Source organism: Homo sapiens, chromosome 8 (assembly GCF_000001405.40).
Source record: "Homo sapiens chromosome 8, GRCh38.p14 Primary Assembly".
NCBI lineage: Eukaryota > Metazoa > Chordata > Mammalia > Primates > Hominidae > Homo > Homo sapiens.
The window spans coordinates 21,693,787-21,709,767 of NC_000008.11; the positions used below are offsets into that span (position 1 = coordinate 21,693,787).

Consider the following 15,981-nt stretch of genomic DNA (forward strand, 5'->3'; position numbering starts at 1 on the left):
GGAAGGAGAGAGGAAGGGAAGGGGAGGGGAGGGGAGACAAGGGAGCCCACATTCGCCCTGTTTCTCAATTTCTTCCAATCCCCACTCCTCCATGAAGCCCTCCCTGAACATCTTTGTCTGAGTTTCTCTTTCTTCTGTGAGGTCTCACACTGCCTTTTCTTCTCATCTAAGTTACTGTCTTGGGTCTATAAGTCATATATATATATACGTCATATACATGAGATATATATATTTATATATACGTCATATATATGAGATATATATATATTTATATATATATTTATTTATTTTTATATATATATATATTTCCTATAGTGGGGGTTTCTTCAAGGGAAGAACTGTGTCTGTTTCCACTTCTGTGCCTCCTAAATATCACAGCAACAGTGCCGAGCAGGTGGTCGACACAACTGTCTTAAGAGAGTAAGGAAGGCATGGGAGGGCCTCTGCTCAGAGCAGCCATTTGTCTCTCCCCAAGGAGAGAGCCAGGGGCCCTGGATGCAGCCTTCGCACTCCCCCACCCCACCCCAGCAGAGTAAGTGCCCACCCTGGTCCAGAAGCTCAGCTGGCCCAGCCCATGCGATGAGATTTGAGGGCGCTGGATCTGAGGCTCGCCGGGGAAATGCCGCCCCCCACCGGCCCAGCCTTCTGCACCCATCCCCACTCTGCCCCCAACTCACCTCTGTGAAGCACATGCTTAACTCTTTGGAGTTGTTGGCCTTCAGCCCCTGCTCCTGCGAGAGAGAAGGTGCCAGTCAGGACGAGTCACCAGGCTGTTCCTGGCTGGGCTTTGTCCAGAGACTTAGATGAGGCCCCGCCATGCACTGTTGGCTCCGCTAAGCACAGCCAGCGCACACGGTGAAGAGGGTAGCTCAATTCCACCCAGCACAAAAGGCTTCTGCCCTTCTCTGACACCCTCAGCAATTAGGACCCGACTCCTCTGGCTCCTGGAGAACAGAGTTCTAACTCTGCTCCCAACTAGCGGCATTATATAGTCATCAGCCATTCGCATGTCTGTCCATATACTCAGCGCAACTCTTGGGCAGGGACCATGTCTTCTTTTCCTCACACTGAGCAGTGTCTGGTTCATAACAACAACTCAACAAATGTTTCACTAGATGCCTGCATCCATGAATGAATGAATGAATGTCACAGATCATAAACAGCCTCCAAGAGCCAACTCCTGTTAATTTGCCATGGCTGATGGAGGGCTCTATATAAAAAGATCATGAGCATTCATCTGGGCTTGAGGGGAAGAGAGGCATGATTGATTAGTGATGTCTGCCACTGGTCCATTAGGTGGATATCTGGCAACTGCACCAGCCCATTTCTGTCCTACACGGATGTGCACACCTGGGAACACTGTGGGCAAGGTGAGGGACGAGAAGGGCTGCCTTGGTAATGATTCCAAGATTGTCTACCCTGGTGTGGCCACCTGGATGCAGGGCCAGAGGGCGCACATGATGAACGGCCCTCTGTTATCATCACTGTAATGGAGATCCATGGGAACCAGCTGGGGATGCAGCGCTTCCATCCAGGATTCAAATGGCTTGTTCCCAGGGCACTTCCAGGGAAGTTCTGGCCACCAAAAGCAACTGGGAAGCCCAAGAAATTATGCCGCAATCACTGCCCTCGGCCAGAAGTATCAATAACCCCTTGGACATCACAGGCAATCTACCACCCAGGGCATCTGGTCAGCTAAACAAGACCCCAGCTGTCACATGGAGACGCTGGCCAAGAGTAGAGTCACTGCCAATGGTGGAGATAGGACCACGGTGATGATTAGCACAGCGAGAATGGAACCAGGAGTGTCCCCAGGTGCCAAGGTGATGCCCAGCCAACTCCCCAGCTGTTGCCCTCTGCAGAAGGGCACGTGCTCGACAACTCTTCCAGACCCAAGGCCTGGACTCCACTCCCCAGGACTTGGTGCTGTTCCAGCTAAGACTGTGAGGCCACGGGGAAGGGTGTCAGGGAAAAAGAACACGCCCACCCCCTCAGAGGCTGTGCTGTCATAATGGCCTCGCATCTGTCCTCCCGAGTCCCTTGGCCAATCCTTGCTCAGTCACCTCAGTCCCTACTTGTGACATCCTATGGCTTGTTGGAGTCTGTGCCTGTGGCCTGACACCTACGGACACCCAGCGTCACTTCCTACTCTCATTGTTTCAGGTGTGGCAGGCCAGTCCCCGCCCTTTCTGGGAGTCCATGTCTTATCCCTACATCCCTACCCCCAACAGAGCTCACTAAACCATTGGGAGCCCTCTCCTTTGTCCCCTCCCCATCTCCTGTGTCCCCTCCCCCCTCTCTCCCCTCCCCCTCCTCTGTCCCCTCCTCCTTTCCTGTCCCCTCCCCTCTCCCTCTGTCCCCTCTCCCTCTGTCCCCTTTCCCTCTTTCTCCCCTCCCCTCTCCCTCTCCCTCTGTCCTCTCCCCTCTCCTCTGTCCCCTCCCCTTTCCTCACTAAACCAGTGGAGCCCATGGGGAATCACAGAGGCAGAAGCTCCCTGCACTCAAGATCCTCACCCCCATCCACCATAACAGCTCCATTTTTATTTGTTTTGTATATTGGAGTCTTAGCTGTTTTGTATATTGGAGTCTTAGCTTATTTGTATATTGGAGGTACGCATAAAATTGTTTGGATAATAGTCTACTGCTTAACAAAATAAGGCTTGAGAAAACAACCGACAAGAAGGGCCCCAGGGTGGGGCCTGCACAATGTGCTGTGGCTGTGGGTGCCACTCTCAGGGGAGCCCCGGACCTAGACACTCTGCAGGGTTACACCCGAGGTCAGCCCATGCAGAGCAGCTGGCAAAGCAACCAGCACACACCAAGTGCATTTTCCCTGGCCTGGGAGCTTGGCCAGGTGTGGAGAGAGAGGATCTAAAGGCCGACGCTCCAGAGAGCAAAGGGGGCCTGCAACTGGACTTTGCTCCTCGGAGTGAGCAGAACTTGACAAGTTCCTCTTAAATAGGATAGAGTGGAGGGGACACTGGCAAGTATTACACAGGAAAAATGACAGAGAAGAGGAGAGTGAAGAAAGGGGTGGAAGGAAGAGAGGAAACCAGGTGAAGGGAGAAGCAGAGAAATGGAAACAGGAAAGAGGAAGAGGGGGAGGGGACAGAGTGAGAGGAGAGGGGACATAGTAGAGGGAAGGGGACAGAGGAAGGGGGAGGGGACAGAGGAAAGGGGAAGGGACAAAGGAGAGGGCAGGGGAGAGAAGAGAGAGGGGACAGAGGGAGAGATGAAGGGACAGAGGAGAGGGGAGGAGACAGAGGAGAGGGAAGGGGACCGAGGAGGGTAGATGGGACAGAGGAAAGGGGAAGGGACAGAGGAGAGGGGAGGGGAGAGAAGGGGGAGGGGACAGAGGGAGAGGGGAAGGGACAGAGGATAGGGGAGGGGACAGAGGAGAGGGAGAGGGGACAAACGGAAAGGGGAGGGGAGGGCATGGTAAGGGGAGGAAGCTGAGGGAGAAAGATAGCAGGAGGGGAGGGGACAGAGGAACAGAAGACAGAGGGAAGAAATAGAGGAAGGAGGCAACAGAGGGCAGGGGAGAGAATAAAGGGGGAGGCAAGAGGGCTGAGGACAACCACTGTACCCTCTCATCTGATGCTGATTATCAGGGGACAGTGAAACACCTCCCTGGGCCATCCCAAGGGACATCTGCCCCAAGGTGTGGTCTCTGCCAGGGGCAACAGGGCCCTTGGGTGGGAGTGTTGCCCAGCAGCTGACCTTTCCTGAAGGTGGCACCTAGTGGCGGGAGGGGCAGAGAGAAAGAGAGACCACCTCTGATGCCAAAACCACCAGTGTCTCAAATTCAGTGCCTCCCTGCCCTCCAGGGGCTCATACTCTAATAGAGAAATAAACTCGCACATAACCACTGATATGGTTTGGCTGTGTCTCCACCCAAATCTCATCTTGAATTGTAGCTCCTATGATTCCCATGTGTTGTGGGAGGGAACCAGTGGGAGATAACTGAATCATGGGCGTGGGTCTCTTCCATGCTGTTCTCGTGGTAGTGAGTAAGTCCCATGAGATCTGATGGTTTTATAGATGGGAATTCCCCTGCACACACTCTCTCTTTCCCAGTCACCATGTAAGACGTCCCTTTGCTCTTCATCTTCTGCCATGATTGTGAGGCCTCCCCGGCCATGTGGAACTGTGAGTCCACTAAACCTCTTTCCTTTATGAATTACCCAGTCTCAGGTATGTCTTTATTAGCAGCGTGAGAACAGACTAATACAACCACCTTCACAGCAGACGAATACACAGAGGGGAGAGAAGCCTGCCTGTGGGTCTAGGGAAATAGCCTGGAGCTTACTCCATCCCTACCCAGAGCTTCTCATCCCCTAGAGGCATCTGTGGCTCCAGTCCAAAAGCACACAGGCCTAGGCTGCAAGGATGGCAGGACACAAGGCTGCTAACAGCAAATCCTCCACCATGGAGGCAGCACAGGGACTGTGGGAAGAGCTGACCCCTGAGGGCTGTGCTGTGGGTGCCCCAGAAGCATCAAAGAACTGGCCCTTGCAGATGGCACTGGGGGAAGGACGCAGAAAGAAGAAGGACAGTGGGAAAGGCATGCTTCATCCTTCCATAGCTTTCTCCCAGGGATGCTCTGTTGCCCAGGAAGCGAGAAGGAAATCATTGTCTTCCTCCTCTTCCTTGCCCACCTCCTGCCTACCCCCGAAGCGCAGGCCGGCATTCCCAGAGCCTCGCTGGTCTGGCCCAGGCGCTAGTCTAGTGTTGTCCTGCTGGCTGAAGCCATGGCTCTCCTGCACTCCCTGCTTCTGGCCCTGGCCCCGCCCCTAAATCTCAGCGCTCCTGGCCTTCCTCCCTGACCTGCACCATCCCCAGTAACTCACACCTCTCACACTGTCTCCATCACCACAACTCAGTGCTGCCTGTGACAGAAGACAATGCAGACAGGGTGTGGTTGTGAAGTGTGTAACACTTCATTTGTAAAACCAGGCACAGCAGACCCCCACTCAGCACAGCAGACCCCCACTCAGTATAGTAGACCCCCACTCAGCACAGCAGACCCCCACTCAGCACTCTGTGCTGTCCTGACTCTGTGCCTCGGCTCCGCTGCTGATTCACCTGGGGCAGCCTGCCCACTGCAACCCCACACCCATTCTCCCGATTCTTTTCAGGCCTAGCAGCAGGCACTGTTATGCCCACGGGTCCTTGGCCTCCACTCCCAGTCAACGCACTCTCTCCCTCTTCTGGACCCCATCACCCTCTACCAGTCCCGCACGCAGCAGGTGCACCAATCACCTTCTCCCTCATAGCCATGTGAGCTTCATCCTGTCAATCCTCCAGCACCGGGACCATGGTCCCGGCCCATGAGGCTTGTTAGCCTCGGTGCCTGGGATGTAGTGACGTGCAGTAAGAATTTCTGTTGAGTCAATGAATGAATGCACTGACCGGTCTCTCAGTCCCATGCTCTGAGGTCCACAGGTCTGTGTGCTGGGTATGAGACCCATCCAGGAGCAGACAGGAGGAGGGAGGAGAGAGAGGTGGCCGCTGGCTGCAGAGTCGGCTGCAGGCATGCAGTGAGGGGGGCCTTGGGGCAGTCTCTCAAAACTCATTTTTAATTTGCCCAAGATGTGACTGGCAGTCCAAATCACAGGTGGGCAGGTGGAGATGGGGAAGCAAAGGAGATGGTATGTTGCAGGGCTCCCTGGTGCTGGGAAAGGTGGGACTCCAGCTGATCTGAAGGGGTCCTACAAATTGGCATTCTGGGCCCAGAGTAGCCCCAAGGGAGTGTCAGGGAGAACAGCAGGCCATGGCCAGGAAAGCACCAACCATCGCCCGTCTCCCTGCAGCCCTCACTGCACTGCCCTGGTCCAGGCCCCATCATAAGACCACGAGTCTCTAACAAACCTTCCTACACCTTCAACAGAAAAGCATTTTCACCTCTGCAGCTTCCCAGTCCTGCGCACAGAGGGCACCTAGGAGAAGGAAGAGAGCTGCGGGCACTGAAACACACAGAGCCCATCCTCTAGGACAGCAGGGAGTTTCAATGAATCCAATGAACTGGGGACACCGGGGTCTCTCCTTCCACCTGAACAAAGCACCCACTCCATGCCAGGCACTGTGCACCCAGCTACGCAGGGTGACGCAGGAGGGTGAGATGCCACTATGGCCTCTGGGGGCCCTGGCCTAGCAGGGGAGAGGAGAACACATCACGATGGGGCCATGAACACGCAAAGCAGGAGCCCAGAGCAGGCGGAAGGCAACCTGGTGTGGACGGAATCGGAGAAGGCATTCCCAAGAGGTGACATCAGGGTAGGACGCACCAGGTGGAGAGGAGTGGACAAGGAGAGACGTCTTACTCAGAGGAACGGCCAAGTGCAGACCAGCAGGTAGCTCACCCATCCTGCAGGTGTCCAAGACTGACCTGACACTCAGGTTCCCTGCTCTAGAGCCCAGTGGGATGGAGAGAAGGGCAAGGGAATTCAGACAAGGTATATATTTAATATACCAGAAGGCCCCAGGAGAGACCATTTTGCAGGCCCTATCAGGCCTCTCCAAGGTCCACAGAGCCCCAGGGAGGCAGGGCTGCCCAGAGAGGGGGCCAAAGCCTGAAGGAGACACTTCTGAGAGTAGGACCTAAGACATCGGCCACAGGGCCAACTGGGAGGGGGCTCCTGGCTCTACTGTGGTGGCGTCCAAGACTCCCACAGCCCCACTGAACAGCCCCACTCCCACCGTGGGAAAGTCCTTTGTGGGGAGCAGATTTGGAGGAGGAGGAACCAGAAGGTGGCCAGGAGGCAGGGTTGCTGGCCCTTCTCGACTGCCAACTGGCTGTGGGGCTGTGGACATGCTGCTGTCTTCACCAGGCCTCTGGTGGCTTGGGTTTAGGAAGATCTTGGAGGGTCTTTCAAGTCCTGACATACAGATACCCACGTAGGGACCCAACTGGCTACCATCTCTGGGGTTCCCTAAGCCTTCCCCCAAGGAAGAAGGAAGGACAGAGGAGGACAGAGATCAGCAAAATAACCTTGCCTCTCCCTCTAGGGTGTATCTAGGGTGTACAGGCTCCCCCACCCTTCCTCCCATCCAGGCTCAGCTCTCTGTCCCTGTGATCACTCAGGTACTCCCTTCTATAGCTATGGGTGCCCCTAACACCCTACGACCCCACAAGGGCCACCACAAAGCCACTCAATCAGAGATGGTCCAAGCTAGGGGAGCTGAGAGACAGGGGACAGATGTGGGCTGGGAAGGAGGGGAGGCACCCATGCCAGCCCCAGGCAAGCCAAAGGCAGGGGCGAGGGCTTATTCACTCGACACTTCCAGCTCCCAGCATGGGATAGCAGGTGCTCATTAAAAACATTGTGCCGGGCGCGGGGGCTCACGCCTGTAATCCCAGTACTTTGGGAGGCCGAGGCGGGTGGATCACAAGCTCAGGAGATCGAGACCATCCTGGCTAACGCGGTGAAACCCCGTCTCTACTAAAAATAAAAAATATTAGCTGGGCATGTTGGCGGGTGCCTGTAGTCCCAGCTACTCGGGAGGCTGAGGCAGGAGAATGGCGTGAACCCAGGAGGTGGAGCTTGCAGTGAGCCGAGATCGCGCCACTGCACTCCAGCCTGGGCGAGACTGCGAGACTCCGTCTCAAAAAATAAAAAATAAAAAATAAAAACATTGTAATTAAAACTGAATCAGAGGCCCTTCCTCTTCCATTTCTCTGAGAAGAAGCCTGGAGAGTGGTAGAGGTTGGACCCCTTTGGAGGGTCTATTTCTCCTCCTTTCCTCCTGGGAGGCTCTCTCAGCTGTCCTGCCCAGACTGACTTAGTCTGTAGGCCTCCAGCCACCTGCCAGGCAGCCTCCCCAGCCCCCGGATTTGTAACGCCTAACATTCGTGCAGCATTCCTCCATTGACCAAGCACTTTCGCATGTATCATGTCACATACAGATCACCCATATCTCCACTGAGATCAAACCAAGATTTGAGCAGGCCCCCGATGGTGAGACTGCACAAAACCAGGCTGGGGCTACAAGAAACCAAGCAACTGATGGCTCGGCAAACTGCAGAAGAAAAAGAATTAAATGGGCCTCAGAATCATCAGAGCTGATGGTGAAGGGGGCTGGGTGGGGTTCCCAAAGCCACGGCTTTGGACCTTATGACCACAAGGAACCACAGTGGGAGTCCTGGGAAGGTTGCCAGCATCCTGCCAAGTCAGCCTCTCCCCAGATGGGCCGGTCCAAGAGGCTCAGGATGAAGGGTGCATGCAGGAGGCTGGTAGAGTCTGGAGGACCTGACAGATGGCACAGCCCCGACTGGCTGAGCTGCCCGCCGCTCTAGCATGAAATTGAGCAGTTGTCTGCAGAGCAGGACCCCAAGCCCCCTGCTTGCAGCCACTCAAGCATGCCCAGTGTCATTAGGAGCTGCCCAAGGGTGACAACAGCACCTCAGCTCCAATCAGGAGGGGAGCTAAGTGGAGGGAGCAGGACATGGAAGAGCTCCCCACCCAGTCGCCAGGAGGGCACTTGGAGGTCAGCTGCTCCTGAGCAGGGGAGCCCACAAGGGAGGGGGAAGGAAGCAGAAAGAGAAGGGGAGGACTTCCATAACCAGAACAGGCACATGCACTTCTGCAATGGGTGCCCAGGAGGGACTTGAAACCCCGCCAGGCTGAGTCCCTGGTCAAGCCTGCATCCTGGCACTGTGGAGGTGCACTGTTGACCCTAGGAGCCTGCTGCCCCACTCAGACGGGTGCCTCACTGCCCCACACACAGCCAGGACTTGTTCCCCCTGCACCTGCACCGAGGCTGTGCCCCACTGCCTGTTCTTCAGACCCTATAGCCTGCAAAGCAGGTATAACACTGTGATGTAACAGGGGTTTAACACTTGCAAGATGAATGCCCAAATAAAGGAACTGGTGAAGAATGACCCCCGGCAGCTCCTCCCTGCCTCTTGGGTCCCTGATCCAAAGGGAGGACCCTCCCTCCCTGGCCTCAGCTGAGTCATTTCCCATGCCACTTCCGGTGCCATGGTGCTCCCCCCACGCCTCAGCCACACACCCTCACCTGGACAGACGTGCAGGTGGTGATGACACTGGTCCCCAAGCTGGTACTGTCACTGAGGTCATCTGGCAAAGAAGGCGTCTTCTCCACCCGAGGGGCCTGGGTGGCCTGGAACGAGGGGCCTTTTGGGGACACGTTCACGTCCGTGCCGTTGCCAAAGGCCTGGATGGCGTTCCCTGGGATGGGGGTGAGGGCAGATGCAGAGAAGTCAGAACCCACGTCCGTCACTCCTGTCCCTGCTCCTCACACTCTTCACCCTGACCACCCCCTTCCCTGGAATGGTCCAGAAGCCAGGACAGGGCATAGCACAGCCAGATTCCCTCTGCTGAACCTCTTCTTCAGATACCTACAAAGGTCTCACAGCTACAGAATATAGCAAGAGAGAGGTTAAAAAACACAGAAGCCAGAATAGCAAGAAGTGTACATGATGGGGAACACAGAAGAAAAAAGGAGAAAAAGAAGGGGGTGGGATGCAGGGGAGCCTAGGGGAGGAGGGGGCCACCTCCTCTGCATGGTGCCACCAGCCACACCTCCCAAAGCTCCTCACCCCCAGCTCCCTAGTCACAGGCTCTTCCGGCCCCTGTGCCTCCTCGGATGTTCCCAGGTCCCCACCCTGGCATGCAGGGGTCCCACATTCAGCCCTCTGCCCACTCCACACCACAGGCTCTCCCTGGGTGGCCTCTGCTCCTCCCACACCATCCAGAGAGGTGCCCAGAAAATCTCCGCCTCCACGAGCCACACACATCTCAAACTCGTTATGTCTAAGCCTGGGCTAGGCGTCTCCTCCTACCCTTGTCAACGCTCCTTTCCCTTTGATCCCTCATATTGCAGCCTTGAAGGTATCATCTCTTATCTACCCTGGTCCCCCATGTCAGAATCCTGAGGGTCACCCTTGGTGCCTCCCTGCACAAGCACTGGCAGCCCGCTGAGCTCACCTCCTAAAGATCCCTCCACCCCATCTCCCATCGCTGTTCCCCTCCCACTGCTCTGGTTCACAGCCACCACTGTGTGCCCCTGTGAGCAGCTACTATGGCCTTCTGATGGGCCTCTCTGTGTCAGGTCACCTGTCAGAATTGATTCACTCTGACTCCCGCTGCCTCACAACACAGGCAGATTCACTTTCTGGAATGCTGATCTGATCTCACACCCTTGCTGACATTCCTTCAAACACCCACAGTACCACTGTCACCCCTGCAGGACAAGAAGATCTAAATGCCTCAGGCCTGCAAGGCCCTGCATGACAAGGATGCTATCTACCTGTCCAGATAACTCTTGCCACTCTGGTCATCTTCAGTGCTATGTAGCAAGGCTACGTGATTGGCAGTTCCCTCCACCCGCCATGGTCTTCTGTGGAGCCCAGGACCTCTGCCCAGGGTGGACTGGCAGGCGCCCCCTGCCTCTTCAACTGACCGATGCCCAGCTAACCATCCACAGATACATTCTCCAAGAAGCCTTCAGGGCCTCCCTCTTCCTGGCTGACTTGGGCATCCCCATCCTGGGCTCCTCAAGAACCCTGTGCAGACCCCCCGCCCAGAGCAGCTCACTTGCACTGTGATCATAAGTGACCCCTCTCAGTCTACCTCCGTCAGGCACCTCCTCGATGACTTGGATCCCTGAATCTCTAGTGCCACACAGAGAGGGAGGAACAGAAGGATGGAGAGATGGACAGAATAAATAATGGAGGGAAGGAAAGAGGGAAGAAATCTTCAGGTGGGCATGGATGGCAATGGGTGCTGGGCTGGAAAGATCAAAGGCAGACTGAGCTAGACTGTGGCTAACCTCTCTCTGGCTTCTGGGTTAGGAGTTTGACGATGTGAAAAGGAAGTCGATTCCAGGGGGAAATAAACTCGTTAAAGGGAGACATGACAGATGCCAGCGATCCTCATGAGAGGGCTCAGTCTCCAAAGGAAACTGGCTGAAGCTGTCCCAATAACAAACCAGACCAAATAACAGGCTTGACATAGGTTCAAGACCTCTGGTGGTAAACTGAGGCTGGCCTACTGACAGCTCTGGTGTGAATCTCCAAAAGCTCAAAACCCAAGGTCCCCACGGGCAACACCCATGGCGGAGAAGCCTCATCTACATCACCAGCCATCCCCACGGAAGGAGATGGGAATGGCTAGGACAGACTCCAGGAGGGGTGGGAGGGGCTGCTGGGGTTGGGGAGAACATCCAGAACTTACGGAGGCATGGGTTCTCGGTGAAGTCCCTGAGGAACTTCTCACACTCCTCCTCCATGTTCCCGCTGCCACGACAGCTGCACCAGGGGGACACCACGATGCCAGTGGGGCTGGAGTCCACATAGTTAGGTGTCATGTCAAACCCTGGGCAGGAAGAAAGGTGGGGGAGAGGAGAGAGGTACGGTGGGGCCTTCCCCTTGGGCCCACAGACCAACCCCAGGCACAGCAGGGCAGAGGCGTGGTACCCATCCTCTGACCTGGCCCCAAAACACACATCCATCCCAATCGCACTCCTAACTCTGAGCATGACTATCCCAGGGACCATGTTCAGCAGGGGCAGAGGGGCCAGCAGCATAGAGGACACTGGGCTCCTTGCCACCAGGAAGGCAGAGAAGATGCCCTGGAGCCCCTCCCAGAGTGTGGGCCCTTGCTTTGTCCTTCACCAGCAAGCAGCCAACATTCTCAAATCAGGGTGAATGAGGCTCACATCCTGGGATCAGACCCCAGTGCCGATATTTATGAGCGAGGTGAGACTGTGCAAGTCACTCAACTGCTCTACAGCCTCAGTTTCCTCATCTATAAAATGGAGATTATCAGCACCCCGCTAGCAAGAGCTGTTGGGAGAATTCAGTAAGACAGTCCGTGTAAACTGCTCAGTGCAGAGCCTGGAATGTCAGAACCATGCAATAAATGTTACCTTTGCTTCTTTTCTCAAAAGCTTTAGGAGGCCCCTGGGGCCCTCCTTCCCCCATGATAAAGAGCTAGGTCCTCCGCCTTGTTACAAAACTGCCTTTCCCCTGGTTTCCCCTCGCAGCTCTCTGAATCTGATGCAGAGAAGGCCGGGCTCAGGCTGTCTCCCCCAGCTGGCCCTGAGCTGGGCTGCGGCCCCTGCCCTGCTGAGATGGGGGCAGCAAGGACCCACAGAGCCCAGGTGAGCAGGAAGAGCTTACCAATCATGCCAGCATAAGAGCCCAGACACGCCTGGTAATTGTCCGCAGGGCAGCTGGTGACCGTCTGGTAGGAGGCTCGACAATTGGCATGGAAGTCGGCCAGCCGGGACCTGGTGGTGGGTAGAAGACGCAATAGAGAAAACAGGGGTTCAGTCTAGCTGCCTTCTGTCTCCTCTGTCCTGCCAGTGGCATCTCCTCCCTGCAGCTTCCCAGGGTGGAAGAAGCCAGGAAGAGGGAGGGGAGGAAAGTCGGGGGAACCAAGTCTTTGTGGGGGCTCAATCTGTGAGCTTCTTGAGGACAGAGACTTCCCGGAGAGACAGGCACATAGTGCGGCTTAAGAAAAACCCAGTCATTGGCTGACAAAAAGGACCCCTCAAGGCACAGAAACAGCCTGCTCTAAATGGCTCTTTTAGGCTGGAGCCGGGTGGGTTTGTGGAGAATGCCTGGACCCCAGGCAGGAAAGCTGGGTCCACCTTCTGAGAGGCTGCAGCCCTGGATGAGCCTGCCCAAGTCCTTCAACCCGGCACTGCAAAATCCCACCAGCAAAACAGGTGACTAGTCCCTTCCCTAGATGCTTCATAGGACCTATCTGAGGGTCAAGGAAGCCAGTGGCCAGGGAGGCAAAAGAGTCTCCCTGGGTGAGACATGCCACGGGCATCCTCCCCTGGTCTCTTCTGCATTAAGCCAGAGCAAAGGCTCCTCTGCCATCCCTCCACCCCTACCCTAGTCCCACCAGGCAGAAGCGGCCTTCCCTTCCCCTGGTGACGGTAACACGCCGCCACCCATTCCCCTCTGTCAGCATCGATGACACTGCATCAAAACTCCTTGTGCACAGCTCTATGTTCCCCACTGGGCCATGAGCCACTTGAAGGCAGACAGTGTCTGAGCTGGGTCTGTCCCCAGCCCTCAGCTCCAGACCTAGACATGGAAGGTTCCATGGAACATGGGGAATCCAAGTCTAATATGCATGGCCATCTCCATTCCTTCCTCTTCCTCCTGCCCTGGGCCCTGGCCAGGAATGTTACCAACAGCCTGGGCTGGGGGAGGATGCTCCCCCTCTGCCATGTCAAGTGACAATCATCACCTTCTACAGGTGAGTGTCCTTTGCCACACACACAGCCCTCATGTATCATATCAACTATGTCTCACAGCAGCTCCAAATAGCTAGTAATAAGGTCTGTTCACGGGCCTTTCCCAATGATGGGAACTCAGTAGGACTTCAGTCGCCATGCACTCCATGAGAATTCTATGGTGACTCGACAAGCTAGCTGCAGGATGGACCAGAACCCAGGTCACCCAAATCCCTTGACCACATCCTTTGCACATATAGCACCTCATGAAGCCATCTCCGAGTTCACCACAGGTTCAGCTCCCCTGGTTCTCCACTGGAACCCTGTCCCATTTGGGAAAGGAACAGGTAGAAGGAGAGACAGACAGAAGGCTGAGAGGGACTGAGCCAGCCTGAGCCAGGAGAGAGAATGCAGGCTTTCCACCGGAAGGTGCTGGTGCCTGCTGAGGGGGCCCCCACCATGCAGACACGGGCTGAGTATGTCCCACCACTGGACAAATTCGTTTCTCTGGAGGCCCCCGCGATCCTGAGGGATGGTTCTGAGAGGAGGAAACCCTCCTGGGATGTGCCCCAGGACCCTGCAGGCTAAGAGAAGGCCATGGGTACCAAACCAAGAGTCAGCTCAGCTCTGCCCTAACTCACTGGGAGACCATGCCCAAGTTCCCTGCTTCTCCGGGACTCTAGTTTCTTATGTATCAAATGAATAAAAAGTACTCTAATTAGCACTTTAAAAGGCACTTTAACTGTTTGGGATGATTAAAAAGTTCTGGAGATGGATGGCAGTGAAGGTTCCGGAACCATGTGAATATACTTAATGCCACTGACTTATACACTTACATGGTGCATTTTCTGTTATGTGTATTTTACCACAATGATGGTTTAAAAGGTACTTTCATATCCATCTTTTATCATTTAACCCTCACAAATGCTCCGTGAGATCTGACAAGCAGTTATTATTATCCCATTTTATAGATGAAGAAGCTGAGCCTCAGAGAAGCTAAACAACTTTGCCCCCAAGATCACAGAGTCACTGAGTAGCAGAGCCAAGACTCAAGTCTAGAGCTCCAACAAGGTGGGCACCATTTCTGGCAGGCCCCAGTGCTCCTGTGTTGCAGGAGGGCCTGGAGCCCTTGAAGGCCCTTCCAGAGCCATCATTCTGCACCTCAGGAAAGCAATGTCTTCCACAGGAAACGAGGAGGAAATCTGCAGTTATCCCTGCCTTCTCTTCTGCCCATAAATGCACCCTCTGCTTCCTCAAAACAAGCAGCAGCAGCATTTCCAAGCAATCCTTCACCCCTGCAGGAGACAACTCCATCTTAGATGTCAAAACCCACATCCATCCCCCTCCGCAGCCAGCAAATGAGAGAGAGTGCTATGAGAGGGGAAGGTGGGAGTCTCCATTCATGTCCCAGACCTCCAGAGATCCAAGAGGTGGCTTGAGAGGGGACAGAGACTCTTAACAGGTAGATGGGATTTAGAGACAAAATCTGTTGAGTTCAATTATACGTCCCCCACAAAAAAAGTTGCAGTTTTAATCCCCAGGACCTATAAACATGATCTTATTTGGAAATAAGATCTTTGCAGATGTAATCAAGTTAAGATGAGGTCACAGTGGATTAGGGTGGGCCCTAAATCCAATGACTGGTGTCCTCATCAGAAGAGAAGAGATAGGCACACAGGAAGAACGCCATGAGACAGCAGAGGCAGAGATAGGAGTGATGAAGCCAGAAGCCAAGGAATGCCCAGGGCTGCAGCAGTGCCTGAAACTAAGAGAAAGAGAAAGGCATGCAACAGACTCCCTTTCAGCCTTCAGAAAAAAGCATGGCCCTGCCAACACCTTGATTTCAGACTTCAGGCCTCCAGAACAGTGAAAGAATAAACTTCTGTTGTAAGCCACCCAGCTTGTGGTACTTTGCTACAGCGGCCCCAGGAAATGAATGCAGCCCTTTCAAAGACTTCACTGTTTGCTTTGGCCAAATGTCTCCCTCCAGAAGAAGCTAAGGGGATATGATCAGGTCCGAACACCGGAGTGGGCTGCAGGTGGGCAAGAAGATAAAGGCAGGACCTAGCTCCTTCAGGGTGTGGGACAAGGAGGCCACTGGATAATGAGCAAAGCCGCTGGTTCCCATCCTCTCCCCACCAAAGGGCATCCAAGCACCAGGCCTTAGCTCTAATGCAGGAGTCCATTCTAACGCCAGGCCGTCATGCATCAGGCCCAGCTCTCTCCTGACCCACCAGTCCCTCCCCATGAAGCCCTTCCCACCTAGCTGTGTGGATTTCTTCCGTTTCCATATTCTAGCTACACACACATAGCCTGGACCAGGCAACTGAAAGATTCATTGCATGAGCAGTTCCTGATTTTGCCCTACTGGGTTTTTCCAACTAGAACACACATTCTCAGAGTGGCAGATTCCATTGATTTCCTCATCCATATCCTCCACAGCTGCTCCTCTGGGCAGGTGTAGATAGCCATGCATCCTTTCTCCAAATACACATCGAGCCCTGCCGCGTGGCTAACAGACAAAAGATGGGAATGGCAAGCGTGGACGCAACATCAGAAAGGAAACTCCAGCTAAGGGGCCGGGGTAGTGTGCCTGGGGGCCAGGGACTGGGGCAGTGGGAGATCATTGCTTGCTTATCTCCCTTGGGGAGCACACTGCCCACCACAGCAGACCAGAGGGCCCACACACTCTCTGCAGGTACTGGGAGCCTCCCAGGCAATGCCAGTTCCCACCCAGTGCACAGGGAGCCTTGCTTCCCTCCCGCA

General features: G+C 54.9%; 1 protein-coding gene across 7 annotated transcripts in view; it reads right to left on the bottom strand.

Moving 5' to 3' along the window:
• The window catches only part of GFRA2 (GDNF family receptor alpha 2), a 121,948-nt gene that overhangs the window by 3,389 nt on the left and 102,578 nt on the right, over positions 1–15,981 (bottom strand). For all 7 annotated transcript variants that reach the window (XM_047421687.1, XM_006716327.4, XM_011544484.3 and 4 more), the window contains 4 exons: positions 12,146–12,255; positions 11,199–11,339; positions 9,019–9,191; positions 678–731 (listed from right to left, as the gene is read on the bottom strand). In XM_047421687.1, coding sequence (XP_047277643.1) covers positions 678–731; positions 9,019–9,191; positions 11,199–11,339; positions 12,146–12,255 — 478 coding nt within the window. The remainder of the gene's footprint in view (positions 1–677; positions 732–9,018; positions 9,192–11,198; positions 11,340–12,145; positions 12,256–15,981) is intronic.